General features: G+C 44.6%; 1 protein-coding gene across 39 annotated transcripts in view; it reads left to right on the top strand.

The window, feature by feature from the left end:
• Positions 1–14693, top strand: part of PROM1 (prominin 1) — a 115796-nt gene that overhangs the window by 87328 nt on the left and 13775 nt on the right. For 34 of the 39 annotated variants that reach the window (NR_199807.1, NR_199806.1, NM_001441179.1 and 31 more), the window contains 8 exons: positions 2625–2709; positions 4305–4448; positions 5403–5474; positions 6872–6964; positions 8980–9033; positions 10659–10739; positions 10868–10936; positions 12341–12433. Coding sequence is in view for 37 of the 39 variants with exons in the window: in NM_001441179.1 (NP_001428108.1) it covers positions 2625–2709; positions 4305–4448; positions 5403–5474; positions 6872–6964; positions 8980–9033; positions 10659–10739; positions 10868–10936; positions 12341–12433 (691 nt within the window). In the remaining 2 variants the exon portion in view is untranslated. The remainder of the gene's footprint in view (positions 1–2624; positions 2710–4304; positions 4449–5402; positions 5475–6871; positions 6965–8979; positions 9034–10658; positions 10740–10867; positions 10937–12340; positions 12434–14693) is intronic. The other 5 variants (NM_001441177.1, NM_001441173.1, NM_001441176.1 and 2 more) reach the window with 5 other exon arrangements.

Genomic DNA, 14693 nt, shown 5'->3' with positions numbered 1-14693 from the left:
TTGTTATACTTTTAGGTATTGCAAGGTTCTTTTTGTACTTTTTAAAAATATTTTGAAATATGCACACATTTAATTAATCAATGGTCATTAGTTCCTGTAGCCAAACCACAGAAGTTATTTTAAAACAAATGTAGCTGTGTCATTACTAAGTATTTATTTATTTATTTATTTATTTATTTATTTTCTGAGATGGAGTCTCGCTCTATCACCCGGGCTGGAGTGTAATGGCACCATCTCAGCTCACTGCAACCTCTGCCTCCTGGGTTCAAGCGATTCTCCTGCCTCAGCCTCCTGAGTAGCTGGGATTACAGGTGTCTGTCACCACGCCTGGCTAATTTTTGTATTTTTAGTAGAGATGGGGTTTCACCATGTTGGTCAGGCTGGTCTCGAACTCTTGACCTCAGGTGATCCACCCACCTTGGCCTCCCAAAGTGTTGGGATTACAGGCGTGAGCCCCAAGCCCGGCCATTACTGTTTATTTCTATTACCTAATAAATATTATGCTAAGTGGTAATAGTGGTAATTTAACAAAATGCTAAGAGCTAGCACCTGCATGGTGCTTTCTGTATGCCAAGACTGATGGAAACACCTCGGTTGTGTAAACTTCTTTAATATCCACACCACTCTGTGAGCTAGGTACCATACTAACTACTTTTATTATTTTATGAGCACCTGTTGTAAAGCGAGCTAAGTACCATACTAACAACTGCTTTTATTATTATATGAGCACCTGTGGTAACGGTATACCTGAGATATTATACAAAATTGAATTAGACTCTGGTCCTACTTGTCAAGGAAAACCTAGCAGGGAGTTAGATCTGTAAAGAAGTGTTCTAGAATACAGTGATACTTACAGGTGACAGAAATGTATTGAGGCTACTCTAGAAGCCCCAAGGAGGGTGTCTTATGCAGTGTGGGAATGGAGGGATTAGGAAGGACTACCTGAGGGAAATGGCACCTAAGCTGATCTTAGTAGGTTAGTGGGGATTGGCTGGGCCAAGAAGGAAAAAGGTACCTCGGCCGAGGGACACAGACAAAGGCAGGGAGGTAGGGGCAGTAGGCTACTCTTTGGGAGCTTTTAAAAATCCCACTACCACTTTGGGGCCAAATACAAAGTTAAAGGACAGAGAAAAGTCCTCGTTTCCATTATTCAGCCCATGGCAGTGAAAACTGAGCTTCTGGAGCCCTGAGACAACACTCAGAATGAACTTATAAATGTTACTCGTAGGCTTTGTCTTCTAAATCTTTCTTAAATCTTCTTCTTCTTCCTCTTCCTCCTCCTCTTCTTCTCCTCCTCCTCCTCCTTTTTCTTCTTTTTCTTCTTCTTTTCCTCCTCCTCCTCCTTCTTCTTCTTCGTCTTCTTCGTCTTCTTCTTCTTTTTCTCTCTCTCTCTCTCCTTCCAACTGGTCTCCTTGTTCCCATTCCATCCTCCAAACCTCCAAGCATGATGTGATGTGACCCAACCACATGTGTCACTTCCTACCTAAGTTTCTCCATTGCTTCTGGCAGAGGCAGCTAACAAGTGTCCAGTGCCCATCCCCCATACTCAGGGTAGACATTGATAGTCAACCGAGGTCTTCTGCTTAGCCCAGGGAGCCTCAGGCTCCTTCTGGACAGCGTGCTCTAGGCATACATTAGCAATCCATTGGCTTTTCTCTGTACAGTTAAACCCGTTCACCACCCCTAGGCTGAGAGGACAAAGCCAAGTGTCTCAGCCTGGCATGCTAGCTCCTTGTGATTCTGGCTCCTGCAGAGCCCTCCAGTTTTACCTCTGGTTGTTCATGCATCAGGCTCTAAGTTCCAACAACACCAACCCGCTTGTTCTCTGGAGGGAAGGATCACACCTCCTAGGGATGTGGGAAAGTTGCTTCTTCCAGGCATCCCTCAGGCCTAGAGGGCCCTGGCTGCTGTGGCAAGGAAGAGATGCCACATTCCTGGATGCCGCTATTTTTGTGGCAGGAATACACATCCAATGAGGCCTACCCTTCTTAGCTCAGTCAAGTCTAAAAAAGTCAAATTTTCCTATTTTAGAGATATGATTGAGGCATGGTGAGGTGAGGCCATTTCACCCAGGGGGCTGACTTAGGTTACAGCCAAACTGTGCTGACCATCGAGATGTCTGCGTCTCCTCCCTATCTCTGTCCTCACCATGAGGATATACGTCTAAGCGTATATTTAGTCAGTGCCGCTCGGCCCTGGAAATACAGAGGAGAAATGTTCTTGGCAGGAGCTTCATAGAATCATTTAATGAAGTTCATAATCTACTCTGCAGTGCGTCTCTTTCTAGCAAGTATTGTTTTTCTTTTTAATGAGAATTTATTTCTTCCCAATCTGTAAACTTGTGGTCCACAGCAGAACTAGAGCATGTAGGAGACAGATGGAAAGATATATTCATCAATCCTATTGCATCTCTTCCAAGAACAGGACTGTTAGTAAAGCAAGGCAAGAAGTCAGAAGTGGTGGGTGCTGGGGGATTTGTGTGGCCACTGGGGACATGCAGCCCCACTTCTGTGTTCACAGATTAAACAAGGAGAAACAGTGAGCCTTTCTCCTCATCTTCAGTGGTGGACAGAGGTAGCTGCAACAGCTTTTCTAGGTCCTAATTTCTCTGTTCATTCCCACAGTGACTGCAAAAAAAATAGAGGCACTTACGGCACTCTTCACCTGCAGAACAGCTTCAATATCAGTGAACATCTCAACATTAATGAGGTAATTAGAACTCGTCATGGAATCGACATAACACATTCCTTCACCAAATCTAGGTGTCTTTCTTTCTTTTCTGGAAATTGAGATGAAATTTGCAAAAGATAAAATTAACTATTTAAAAGTGATGTTTGGTATATTTACATGGCTGTGTAACCTTCACCTCTATTTGGTTCCAAAACGTTTTCTCACTGCCCGACCAGTTGTCTTTCTTGTGGTTTGAGTTTTCCTAGTGGATTATGCAAGAGCCTCTAGAGGGGTCTCACTGTGGACACTTCACAGGGAAAGATGTCATTTTGCTGAGTATAGACGTTTTTGTGGGAACAATCCCTATTTGTTCCTCAGGAAGGCTCTCACTCCAAGACCAGCCTCCCTTTCTGCCAGTCTCTGAAATTGGGCACTCAGTGTGGAGGAGCATGGTCCATACCGTTCTCCTTCCTTATGAGTCGCAAGGTGGCCCCAGGACTCCAGTGTGAACTAAAGCAAAGGATGGAAGCCGACAGAACCTCCTCTTTTCTTTTGCCAGAGCCCACACCCCAGTCTTGAGTCTTAAGATTTGGAGGAAAGACCATTCCAGGGCACACTGGCCTGAAGAAAGAGCAAGAGTTTCAGCTGCCCAGGCCTAGGGTGCCGTTAACCTAGACCAACCCCACTCCCCGTACCTGGAGGCCTCTTCTGACTTTCTGCCAGAAAGAATCTAGACTGTCATCTCTCTTTTGGGTTTCCAGAATGAGAGCAGAAACAAAGGGATCCCAAGGGAAGAGGCTATTCCCAAGCCCCCACAGCTTGCGCACTGCTGCTAGAGTTACCATGAGGCCATGATGGCTTGATGGTTTTCAAATGTGAAAAGCTGTGTTTGAAAGCTGTATATGAAATGTTTATTATCTTCCCTAAATAGTCCATACATATACATTAAACAGACATAATTTTGTAACCAAACCCTAAATAGATGCCCGTCGTGCTGTGGGTCACTTCTCTGTGTGCTATGGTGGATGGCAGTTGGAGAGGTTGCCTGGGACGTGCAGGCACTCCATGCTGCTGGAAACTGCTGACTATCAATACAACCCTGAATCACCAACCGTGTTTCCATAATCTTTGCCCAAGTAACTAAACACTGTTCCCCAAATGATATCTCCCATTTCTTCCTACTCCCAGCTGTTGTGTGTACTGGTCCCTTCCCTGGAATGCCAGCCTACCCTGTGTCCCTTTCAGCTTCTCTGTTTGTCAAAGCTGGAGGCTTAGAAGCCATGGGACCCATAGAGAAAGAGATGGGAAATGAACAGGATGGGAAGTACCAGGAAGAGATGCCAGTCAAGTGCTTGCACATTTTTTTTGTCTTTTGTGGTTTGATTGCTGTTTATTTTTTATTTATTTTTTAAATTTATGTTTAAAATTTTTTTTAAATAGAGACAAGGTCTCTTTATGTTGCCCTGGCTGGTTTTGAACTCCTGAGCTCAAGCGATCCTCCCACCTCAGCCTCCCAAAGTGCTAGGATTGCAGGCATGAGCCACCACATCCAGCTTTTATTGCTCTTTTAAAGCATTTGGTTTGTGACATTCTTGGAGAATAAGGGACTGATTTGTAACTTCCTTTTTTCGCAGCATACTGGAAGCATAAGCAGTGAATTGGAAAGTCTGAAGGTAAATCTTAATATCTTTCTGTTGGGTGCAGCAGGAAGAAAAAACCTTCAGGATTTTGCTGCTTGTGGAATAGACAGAATGAATTATGACAGCTACTTGGCTCAGGTATGGCGCATGTGTTCATGCTTGATCCTTTAGGAGAAATTAAAGTGTCAGATGTGTATTTCTGTTTTGCTTTTGATTTTTTATTAAGATGAGATTCACATGATGTAAGACTATTTTAAAGTGAGCAATTCGGTGGCATTGAGTACATTCACAGTGCTGCACAACTACTTCTGTAGTTCCTGTAGTTCCAAGACATTTTCATCACCCTAAAGCAAACCCCAAAGCAGTTGCCCCCATTTCCTCCTCCCCAAACCCTTGGCAACCACCCAACCACCCATCTGTGGTCTTTTTTTTTTTTTTTTTTTTTTTTTTTGAGACGGAGTCTCGCTCTGTCACCAGGCTGGAGTGCAGTGGCGCAATCTCGGCTCACTGCAACCTCCACTTCCTGGGTTCAAGTGATTCTCCTGCCTCAGCCTCCCGAGTGGCTGGGACTACAGGCGCCTGCCACCACGCCCAGCTAACTTTTTTTGTATTTTTAGTAGAGACGGGGTTTCACCATGTTTGCCAGGATAGTCTCGATCCCTTGACCCTGTGATCTGCCCACCTCGGCCTCCCAAAGTGCTGGAATTACAGGCGTGAGCCTCTGTGCCCGGCCCATCTGTGGTCTCTTTAGATGGATTTACCTAGTCTGGGTAGTAAAAAAAAAAAAAAAGATTACGTAACACATAATCTTTTGTGTCTGGCTTCTTTCACTGAGCATGTTTTTGCTGTTCATCCATGTTATAACATTATCAGCACTTCATTCCTTTTCATAGTTGAATAATATGATTGAATAAAAATATGGCTTTATATGTATAAATAAGAATGCAAATGTTGCCACCTGTTTAAGAGTTTCTGACCTCACATGATTACTTTATGGTTATGAATCCATGTTTAATCTGTTGCCTACTAGATGTTGTGTTAAGGCTTAAAGATCCCATATCCATAAGACAATTTTTTTCACTTCTATTGTAGACTGGTAAATCCCCCGCAGGAGTGAATCTTTTATCATTTGCATATGATCTAGAAGCAAAAGCAAACAGTTTGGTGAGTTCAAATCGTCCGGTTAAATACTGTAGTAGTTGTAGATGTCAAATGTCAGTACCATTCTTAGGGAAGCTGCTGGAGAGGTTCCTCACACTGTGAGTAATCCCTTGTTCATAAACACCTCTCTTGTGTGTGTCATTACGTTTCCGTCCACAGCCATTGCCATGTGTCCCAAACCCCTCTGAGCCTTGAATGTTGCCAGGATGGTGTCGGGTTGATGCAGGGCAGGTGAAACCTGCTTTATTGAGGCAGTGGCAGGGTTACAGCTCAGAGACTGCTCTTCTGGAGGGGGGCTACCCCATAGGCAGTGTGCAGAAAGTAGCAGCCTAGGGACAGTTTTGTAGTCTTATTTATAACCGCTTTCAATGGAATGCTAATTAAGTGGCAGGTTGTTCAGAAATAGCTAGAAAATGAGTGGTAACTTCCCAGTGTTGCCATGGCAATGGTTAGCTGTCATGGCGCTGGCGGGCATGCCTTATGGTGATGGACAGGGAGAGGTGCTTTGGGCTCCTCTTTCTGGTTTCCGCCAGTCTTCAGTCTGGTCCGGAGTCCCACCTGCCTTCTATCTCAAGATGACTGCAGCCTTCCACCCTCTGCTCTGAGTGCGGGCACCCTCACTACTTTAGCTCTGGATCTGTTTCCACCTCTGTCAACCCCTCCACTTCTAAACACACCCGCCCATGCACACAGGTTGTTTTCCTGCTGTGTAGGGAATAGTACCTGGGGCTGTGGGAGGAAGATTTCATGTGTTGCTTTGAGTTACCAATAGTAAGTGATGAGGGAAGGCAGAGGTACCACCCCAGCCCCATAAGCTTCCCCTTTCAACTCCTCTGCTGGTTGGTGACTACTTGGCCTTAACTGGCCCCGTCCAAGAAGCAGCACGCCATGGTGACGAGGAACCTGGGCTCTTGAAGAAGACCTGGGTCTAAGTCTTGACTCGGTATAGGAGCTTAGGCAAGTTATTTCTCCCTTCTGCCTTAGTTTCCTCATCTGTAAAATGGGGTAATGGTATCTACCTTATAGGATTGTTATTCATTAATAAATTAAACATTCATTGAGTGTGGGTTAAATAAAAATTTCTCTATGGGTCCTTGGTTTTCTCACCTGTAAAATGGGAAACTGAGAGTGGCTGTATCATGGTGAGGTGGAGAGAACACAGTCTCTGGCACTCAGGAAGGGCTCTTGGGTGTGGGTTATTGCTGAGAGTCCATGGTTCTGTGCTTTGAAGGAGGGTGTCTTGGCACTATCCCTCACACCAGCCCCCATGCCCACTCACAGCCATCATTGCATGCTTATGTCATGGCAGCCCTCCTGGCTACACAGGGCCCCTGAGGATAGCGAGAGTGCTTTGAGTCTGGAAAGATGGTATTGATCTTTGTTTTTTATTCTTTTTGTAGCCCCCAGGAAATTTGAGGAACTCCCTGAAAAGAGATGCACAAACTATTAAAACAATTCACCAGCAACGAGTCCTTCCTATAGAACAATCACTGGTAACAGTCAACGACGTATTGTATTTCACTGTGACCTGAGCAAAATCTACTGCAGCTAGTTGGCTTTCATTTAGCCTCACGACACATGCTCATCTCTCATAGGTCCCAGCTGACTGGCTTCAGCCCCAGAAGTTGAGCTGGCCTTTAGACAAAATAATTGCACCTCCCTCTGCTGCTTATTCCCTTCCGTTTTTCATTTGAGTGTGAACAGTTAGATAAAATCTGTGGCTGTCTCTTCCACCTTGCTCTAGTTTCCATTGCTGTGAGCAGGCCCTCCTATGCCCCGCATTTAGCTACAATGCTGTGGACTCACTTGATTCTTTTTCTCCGAGCTTTGTCTAGAAATATGTGAAGGTGAGGTTAAGTGCTTCTCTGTGTAGATCCACTTAGCCCTGTCTGCTGTCTCGATGGGCGTTGCTTCGTCTCTCCTCTCTTCCATCCTTTCCATTTGCTTCTCACCACCTTCTGGCTTCTTTTCTTAATGCAATAAAGGCAGTTTCTAACAAAGAAAGAATGTGGGCTTTGGAGTTAGACAGACCTGGTTTTAAATTCTGCTTCTGGCTCTCCAAACTATTGTAGCTTCTCAGTTTCCTCATCTAAAAATGTTGGGATCAATAACTGCCTTGCTCTTACCTGTTCATGGAAATGAAGGACCTGACCTCAGAGGATCTCAGTAAAGAGGAGGAATTATTATATTATGCTTGTGTGTGGGCCGTATTTGTAGCCATCAAGGAGAGAAGTGTGTGGAAACTGGGTTACTGAATCAGCTTGCTCAGGTTTGGACAAGCAAGTAAATCCACTTAGCCCCAACATCCAAACATCCGAACATCCCAACCACTAAACTTCCCAGAACTAATTTCCAATACTCTTTTTTTCTCTCTCGATTTCCTAATTTATTAGATTATTCACAAAGTCCTGTCACTGAATTTTCTTAATTTGTGTCCAGTGCTATTTACAATTTTCTGTAACTGGTTTATGCCTAACACAAATTTGTTAACATTTTAAGCTGGTTTTGCATTTTTTTAAATGCTTTTTTCCCAAGTACACAGGACCCTTTGGCCTTTTCAGAGCTAGGGCAACCTGTCCACAAATAGGCAGAGTGCTTCCTACCTGAGACCTATGATCTAAACCAGGGGTTGGCAAACTAGGGACCCTGCAAACTACAGCCTGCAGGCTAAATTCAGCCTACCAGCAGTTTTTGTAAATAAAATTGTATTGGAATATGGCCACACCCACTCATTTGCAAACTCTCTGTGGCTGCTTTTGATTACAAGGACAAAGTTGAGTAGTTGGGACTATGGCAGATAAAACCTAAAGTGTTTACTCTGGTGTTTTACAGATAAAGTTTGTCAACCTCCTGTCTAAACCATTCAGGTTAACCACTCTTGCGGGGCAGGCTCTGCTTTAAATAATGCCTTCCACTTTGATCAAACCTAATTCAAAGGGATTTCTTGGATGCCTCACATGTGATTTGCTGTTCTTCACAGCTTTAGGATATGTATCCAATGTTTTCTTCAGGTTTTCTTACACCAGAGGCATAGAAAGTACACATTGTTGGCCAGGCGCGGTGGCTCACACCTGTAATCCCAGCACTTTGGGAGGCCGAGGCGGGTGGATCACCAGGTCAGGAGATCGAGACCATCTTGGCTAACACGGTGAAACCCCGTCTCTACTAAAAATACAAAAAATTAGCCGGGCGTGGTGGAGGACGCCTGTAGTCCCAGCTACTCAGGAGGCTGAGGCAGGAGAATGGCGTGAACCCAGGAGGCGGAGCTTGCAGTGAGCTGAGATCGTGCCACTGCACTCCAGCCTGGGTGACAGAGCGAGACTCCATCTCAAAAAAAAAAAAAAAAAGAAAGTACACATTGTTAATTGTGTTGGTTATTTTTTCTAGAATGAAACCATTACAGTGTAAAGACAGATTTGATGGCTATCTTGTGGGAAGGGAGGACACAAGGTATGTGATCTTGCTGCTTCATGTAATAATTTTGGAAATATTATCTGTTTCTTGCCAGAGCACTCTATACCAAAGCGTCAAGATACTTCAACGCACAGGGAATGGATTGTTGGTAAGGGTTTACTTTGTTTTCTGTCATGGGGTTTTGTTATAAAATACCACACAAAGAATGCTAGAAATGTGGATTTTTGTAGGTACTTTAAGTTGAAAAAAAAAGCCTCAGTTATCTACCTATTTTAAATAGCAAATTGGGCTTTCCTACTATTTCCTTTCTACAAGTACTTCTCTAAGTGCAGACCTCATCTTAGCAGGCTATTAGATACATAGGTGAAATCTATGTTTTGATGTGTAGGATGCAAGCTTGGAAGGTACATTGGTCCCTTTCACAGAGATAATGCTGCCTAACACACAATCCCAAACCTCAGTGCCTTCTAAGTATAAATGTTCATTTTCCCTGCTGGTTTGACAGCAGGCTTCTCTACACATCTTCCCATTGAGAGACCCGGCCTGAAGGAGCAGCTCCTGTCTGGGGCACCTCATGTCCTCATAGTGGAGGACAGGAGTTCAGGGGATGAGTGGAGGCACAGGTTGTCCTTTAAGCTCAGAATGGGCACCCTGCCCCTTCACCAGCGTTCCATTGGCCAAAGCAAGTCACATGGTCACACACATCGTCGTCTGGCTGGGGAAGTATACTCCACGCTCTGGGAAGCCATCCAAGGAGCATATCAATAATCCTGAACAGCTAATGCAATCTACCTACCACAGGGGCCATGTGTGGGCTGCAAGCATTCCCTCAGCAGACACAGAGCTGCAAGGCTGGGTTGTATTCATCTTGTATCTACAGTACCAATGGGCAACTCAGAAGATATTTTTTCATTGAACGGAATAGTCTGTACATGACAGGTTTTGGGTATCAGCCCCACAGGATAAAACTAAATGTTCCTCCTTCCACTTTTCTCAGTGAGACCAACATCATGGCTCAGCTCCTTTGAAGATGTTTAGATTTACTCTGCTCCAGGACCCTCGCTATGCCTCTGATCACAGTTGCCATTTCATAGGTGTGTGTCTCATGCCAGGGGAACCTGGAAACACACCAGTGACTACGTGCAGGTGCTTTGCTACCTCTGTGAACAGGGCGAGGGTGTGCAGTGGTGCAAGGCCTTTCATGAGGGGCCCAGCCAAGGGGGTTAGTCGAGGGCAGAAACTGGCCATTGACTGAGTTGCCAGGCTCTGTGCCCTGAGGTCCCTGGGCAGAAAAGGCCCCATTTCCAATTTGCACCAAGCTGCCATGTGGGTTGGCAGAGGACTCGTCTTTGCTTGTGTTGTAGTGCAAAGACTATGGGTTTTGTAGTGAAAAAAAAAAAAGTTCGGTGCAAATCCCAGCATTGTCGTATGTTTCCCCAGCATGGTGACCGTGAAGAGGCTGAGCTGCCTCATTTGTGAAGGGAACCTAACAAACAGTACCTTCCTTCCTGCCTCGTTGTGAGTTTCCAGCAAGTCCAGCAAGGCCATTCCTATCAAGGACTAGCCCAGTGTCTGGGCTAGAGTAAATGCTCACTTTCAGCTCATCTCCTTCCCTGCCCTCAGGGGCCTGGGTGGGTTCTGTCTTCCTCTTAACTAGCAGGTCCAGGTCGTGGTGTTGCAGAGCTGAGTTACAGTACTTGAATCAATATGCAAATTGTCTAATTAAAACTTTCTATGACTTGATACCCTGATAACTGTGGCTGTGTCTTTCAGGAGAGAGTAACTAGGATTCTAGCTTCTCTGGATTTTGCTCAGAACTTCATCACAAACAATACTTCCTCTGTTATTATTGAGGTGAGCCTTCTTTTTTAAAGTAAGCGTGTCCATAAGTGGGCACTTGAATGTTACAGATTAAATATTTATAATGTTTAAGTATGCTGTCATCATTTTAATGCTTCTACTCATCTTTTGTTTCTTTCCAGGAAACTAAGAAGTATGGGAGAACAATAATAGGATATTTTGAACATTATCTGCAGTGGATCGAGTTCTCTGTAAGTAGTTTATCTTTTATGAATGTTAAGGGGGGTCAAGTTTCAGGATAGCCATTTTCTAGGGTAAAATCTGGAAGAAATAAAATTAAATTTCCCATAATTTGGTAGGAAGTAAGTGAAAGGACATTGATGTGCAGGACCAAGACTTCTGGGGCTTCCCACCAGGTCAGAGGACAGCCACCTCCTGGTCCCCTTTGCTCACCTTTGCCATATGCAGTTCTTCCATTTGCTTCCCACCCCCTTTTTCAGGTAACAAAGGGGCCAGGTAACAAATTTGAACTAAAACACTATGCTGGGCACGAGAACTTTTTAATTCTCTCAGAGTCCTGTAGGCTGGGTCTCACTGTTCCAAAACAAATGAGGAAACTGGAAACCGAGGCTCAGAGAGAATAAGGATCTTGCTTTAAAATATATACAATTGTCCCTCAGTATCCATGGGTTATTCGTTCCAGAGTCCCCTGCAGATACCAAAATCCTTGGGTGCTCAAGTCCCTTATATAAAAGATATAGTTATTTGCACATAACCTATGCACATCCTCCTGTGTGCTTTAAATCTCTCTAGATTACTTATAATACCTAATACAATGTACATGCTATGTAAATAGTTGGTATACTGTATTAAAAAAAGTCTGTACATGTTCAGTAAAGGTACAACTATCCATTGTTTTCTGAATATGTTTTAATCTATGATTGGTTGAATCCATGGATGCAGAATTCAGGGATATGGAGGGCCGACTGTAACTGTATATGCAGAACTCATCCATGCACATCAGCCGTCAGTTCCATGTCTTAGAGCAGCAGTCCCCAGCCTTTTTGGCACCAGGGACTGGTTTAGTGGAAGACAGTTTTTCCACAGGCCGGGGGTGGAGGTAGTTTCAGGATGATTCAAGGGCATTACATTTATAGTGCACTTTATTTCTATTATTAATACATTGTAATATATAATGAAATAATTATGCAATTCACCACAGTGTAGAATCAGTGGGAGTAATGGGAGACAGTGACAGATCATCAGGCATTAGATTCTCATAAGGAGCACAATTGAGATTCCTCGCATGTGCAGTTCCACAATAGGGTTCATGCTCCTATGAGAATCTAATGCTGCTGCTGCTCTGACAGGAGGTGGAGCTCAGGCAGTAACATAAGAGATGAGGAGCAGCTGTAAATACAGGTGAAGCTTTGCTTGCTCACCCGCCCCTCACTTCCTGCTGTGGAGCCCAGTTCCTAACAGGCTGTGGACCGGTACTAGCTGGTATCCATCTGTGACCCAGGAGTTGGGGACCCCTGTCTTAGAGGACATGGAGATCCTTTTTGTGACACCAAGTCAAAAGTAAATGGCACGTCTCATTCCTTTGGGTTTTTGTGGATGCAGCTCAAAGTTTCCCTGTGTTTCCACCCCCCTAGATCAGTGAGAAAGTGGCATCGTGCAAACCTGTGGCCACCGCTCTAGATACTGCTGTTGATGTCTTTCTGTGTAGCTACATTATCGACCCCTTGGTAAGATTTCATCTTTCAAAAGAAGACACAATGAATCCATCATCTTTGGTTGTTTTTCTGGATTATGATATACATTATAATATTTGTTTTCTGCTTGAGAGAATCCAAAACCTAAAATGTAATATTTTGATCAGTGTATTGAGATGCTAATAGACTAGAAAAGTCAAAGTTCTGGGCGGTTGTCTTCTTTCCTCACTAGGATTATATTTATGAGTCAGGAGACCTGCAGGGAGAAAACTCCTGTTAGTTCAGAATAATCAGAAAGACAGTCACGGGTGTGCAGATTTCTCATCTTCAAAAGAATACTCAGTACAACTACATTTACAACCCCAAAGTTGCATCAAATTTCATTTGTCATTAAAAAGCCCTTAGAAATGTGACTATTGGGATGGTAAGTTCCAGTTAGTCAGGCTTAATCCTCAGCTCTGTTCCCTCCTCAACAGATGCTGACTCTCTCTGTGAGTGGATCCTCTCCCTCTGCTGAAAGCACCTCAGTGGCTTCCCATTGCTATCTAAAGATCAGGATTCCTCATAGCCCATACTAGGCTCTGCATGGCTGAGCCTCCCCATTCCAGATCTCACTGTGTGCTCTCTGCCTGCCCGCCTTTCTTTCTGTGCTCCAGACATACTCATCTTCTTTCACTTCATCAAATAAATCTCAATTTCCCCACCTTAGGGCCCATGCACATGCCGTTTCTTCTGCCTGGACTGGAGATGGGCACACGCCGCCTTTCTCTTTCTCTCTCCTCTTCCGCTTCCCACCTACCCACTCCCCACTTTAAGACCTAACTCCTCCAGGTCTGGTAACACAATGGTGGAGAACATCAACTCTGAATGAAAATTCCACTTCTACATTTTCAGAACTCTGTGACTTTGAAAAATTCCTGAAATTTTCTGAGTTCCTCGCCTACATGGGCTGTTTTGATGATTCAGTGAGAGGTCACATGTGAAGCCCTTCACGCTGTTGGAACATCAGCACTCAATGAATATTCACTACTATTGTTGTTCCGCCTTCAGGTCTTAGCTCAAACATGTCTTTTTTCCAGGAAGCCTTTTCTGATCCCCAAAACTAGGCTGAGCTCCGTTTTCCTCATTCCTGTAGAACTCTATGCTTTTCCTTTAGAGATGTTATTGCTGTTTCAATTACATATTTATATGTTTCTTTGATTAAGACCTGTCTCTCCAGCACACTCTAGACTCTCCACTCCATGAGTCACCAGTGCATTCAAGGCTGTGTCCCTGTTGTCTGGCATAATACCTGGCACAGAGTATCACTGATGCATTGTCAGGTAGCTCTCTGGCACAGTTCATCCCTATTGCCCTGTCTGTCCACCTCCCTCGTTCACTTGTCCATCTGTCTGCTGGAGGGTCTTTCATGCCTGAGTGAAAAGGATTCTGCCTCCGACCCAACCACGCAGACCCTAGGCCCTGCTTCCTGGATGCTTCCTTCTTCTTGCAACTACTTTTCTTGTCCTGTGCTTGGTGGCCCCTGCCGCCAGCTTTGGCTGAAGCCTTCATTAGGGGAGTCCAGAGCCAACCTGCTTGATTCTGAATTGACGTCTCTCTATGTCCAGCCTCCACCACCCACCCCATTCAGTCGAACCACATAGCCACCAGATGCCTTTCCACAGATCACCAGGGACAGAGGGGAGGCCTAGAGGCTGCTCAGGAAGATCATAGGCTGGAGCTGTGTAGCAGAGGGTTTACATCGTAAGGAAGAGCTCTGGGCATCCATTTAGTCAATACGATAGACTGTGGGCTAGCTAACATGTTTATTTTGTATCTCAATTGTCCCCAAAAGGATTGAGGCAGCTTCCAGAAAAAGGATAAGGTTGTTATAAAGTTATAAAGCTTCTCAAGACAAGGTTGAAAACAGAAATCTAACAGAACATAGAGGGAAGGGGGAACAAATTGACTGGAAGTTAGGAGCCAAGAGGTGGTGCCACCTCTGTAATTCTGAACTCAGCCAGGAGCAAAGCAGAAATGCAGGGTCAAGCTGTGAGGGTGAAGCAGGTGTTATTTCCAAGTGGCATTTGGCCTCATGGTGGGCTGGGGAGAGTCGTTCTAGTGTTACTGACAGCATTATTCTAAGGCAGGGATATTGTCAGACTCGAACTTACGTAGGAAGTTGGCAGGTTGTAGATTTACATAGCAGGCCAAGTGTAGGATGCTGGCCAGAGTGGCATTCAGCCCGTGACATCTATACATTGTGTGTTTGTCCTGATTGGTCCATAAGGTTACATCATTTGGAATATCACCT

This window comes from Homo sapiens, chromosome 4, assembly GCF_000001405.40.
Source record: "Homo sapiens chromosome 4, GRCh38.p14 Primary Assembly".
NCBI lineage: Eukaryota > Metazoa > Chordata > Mammalia > Primates > Hominidae > Homo > Homo sapiens.
This window is presented reverse-complemented; position numbering and strand designations above follow the sequence as displayed.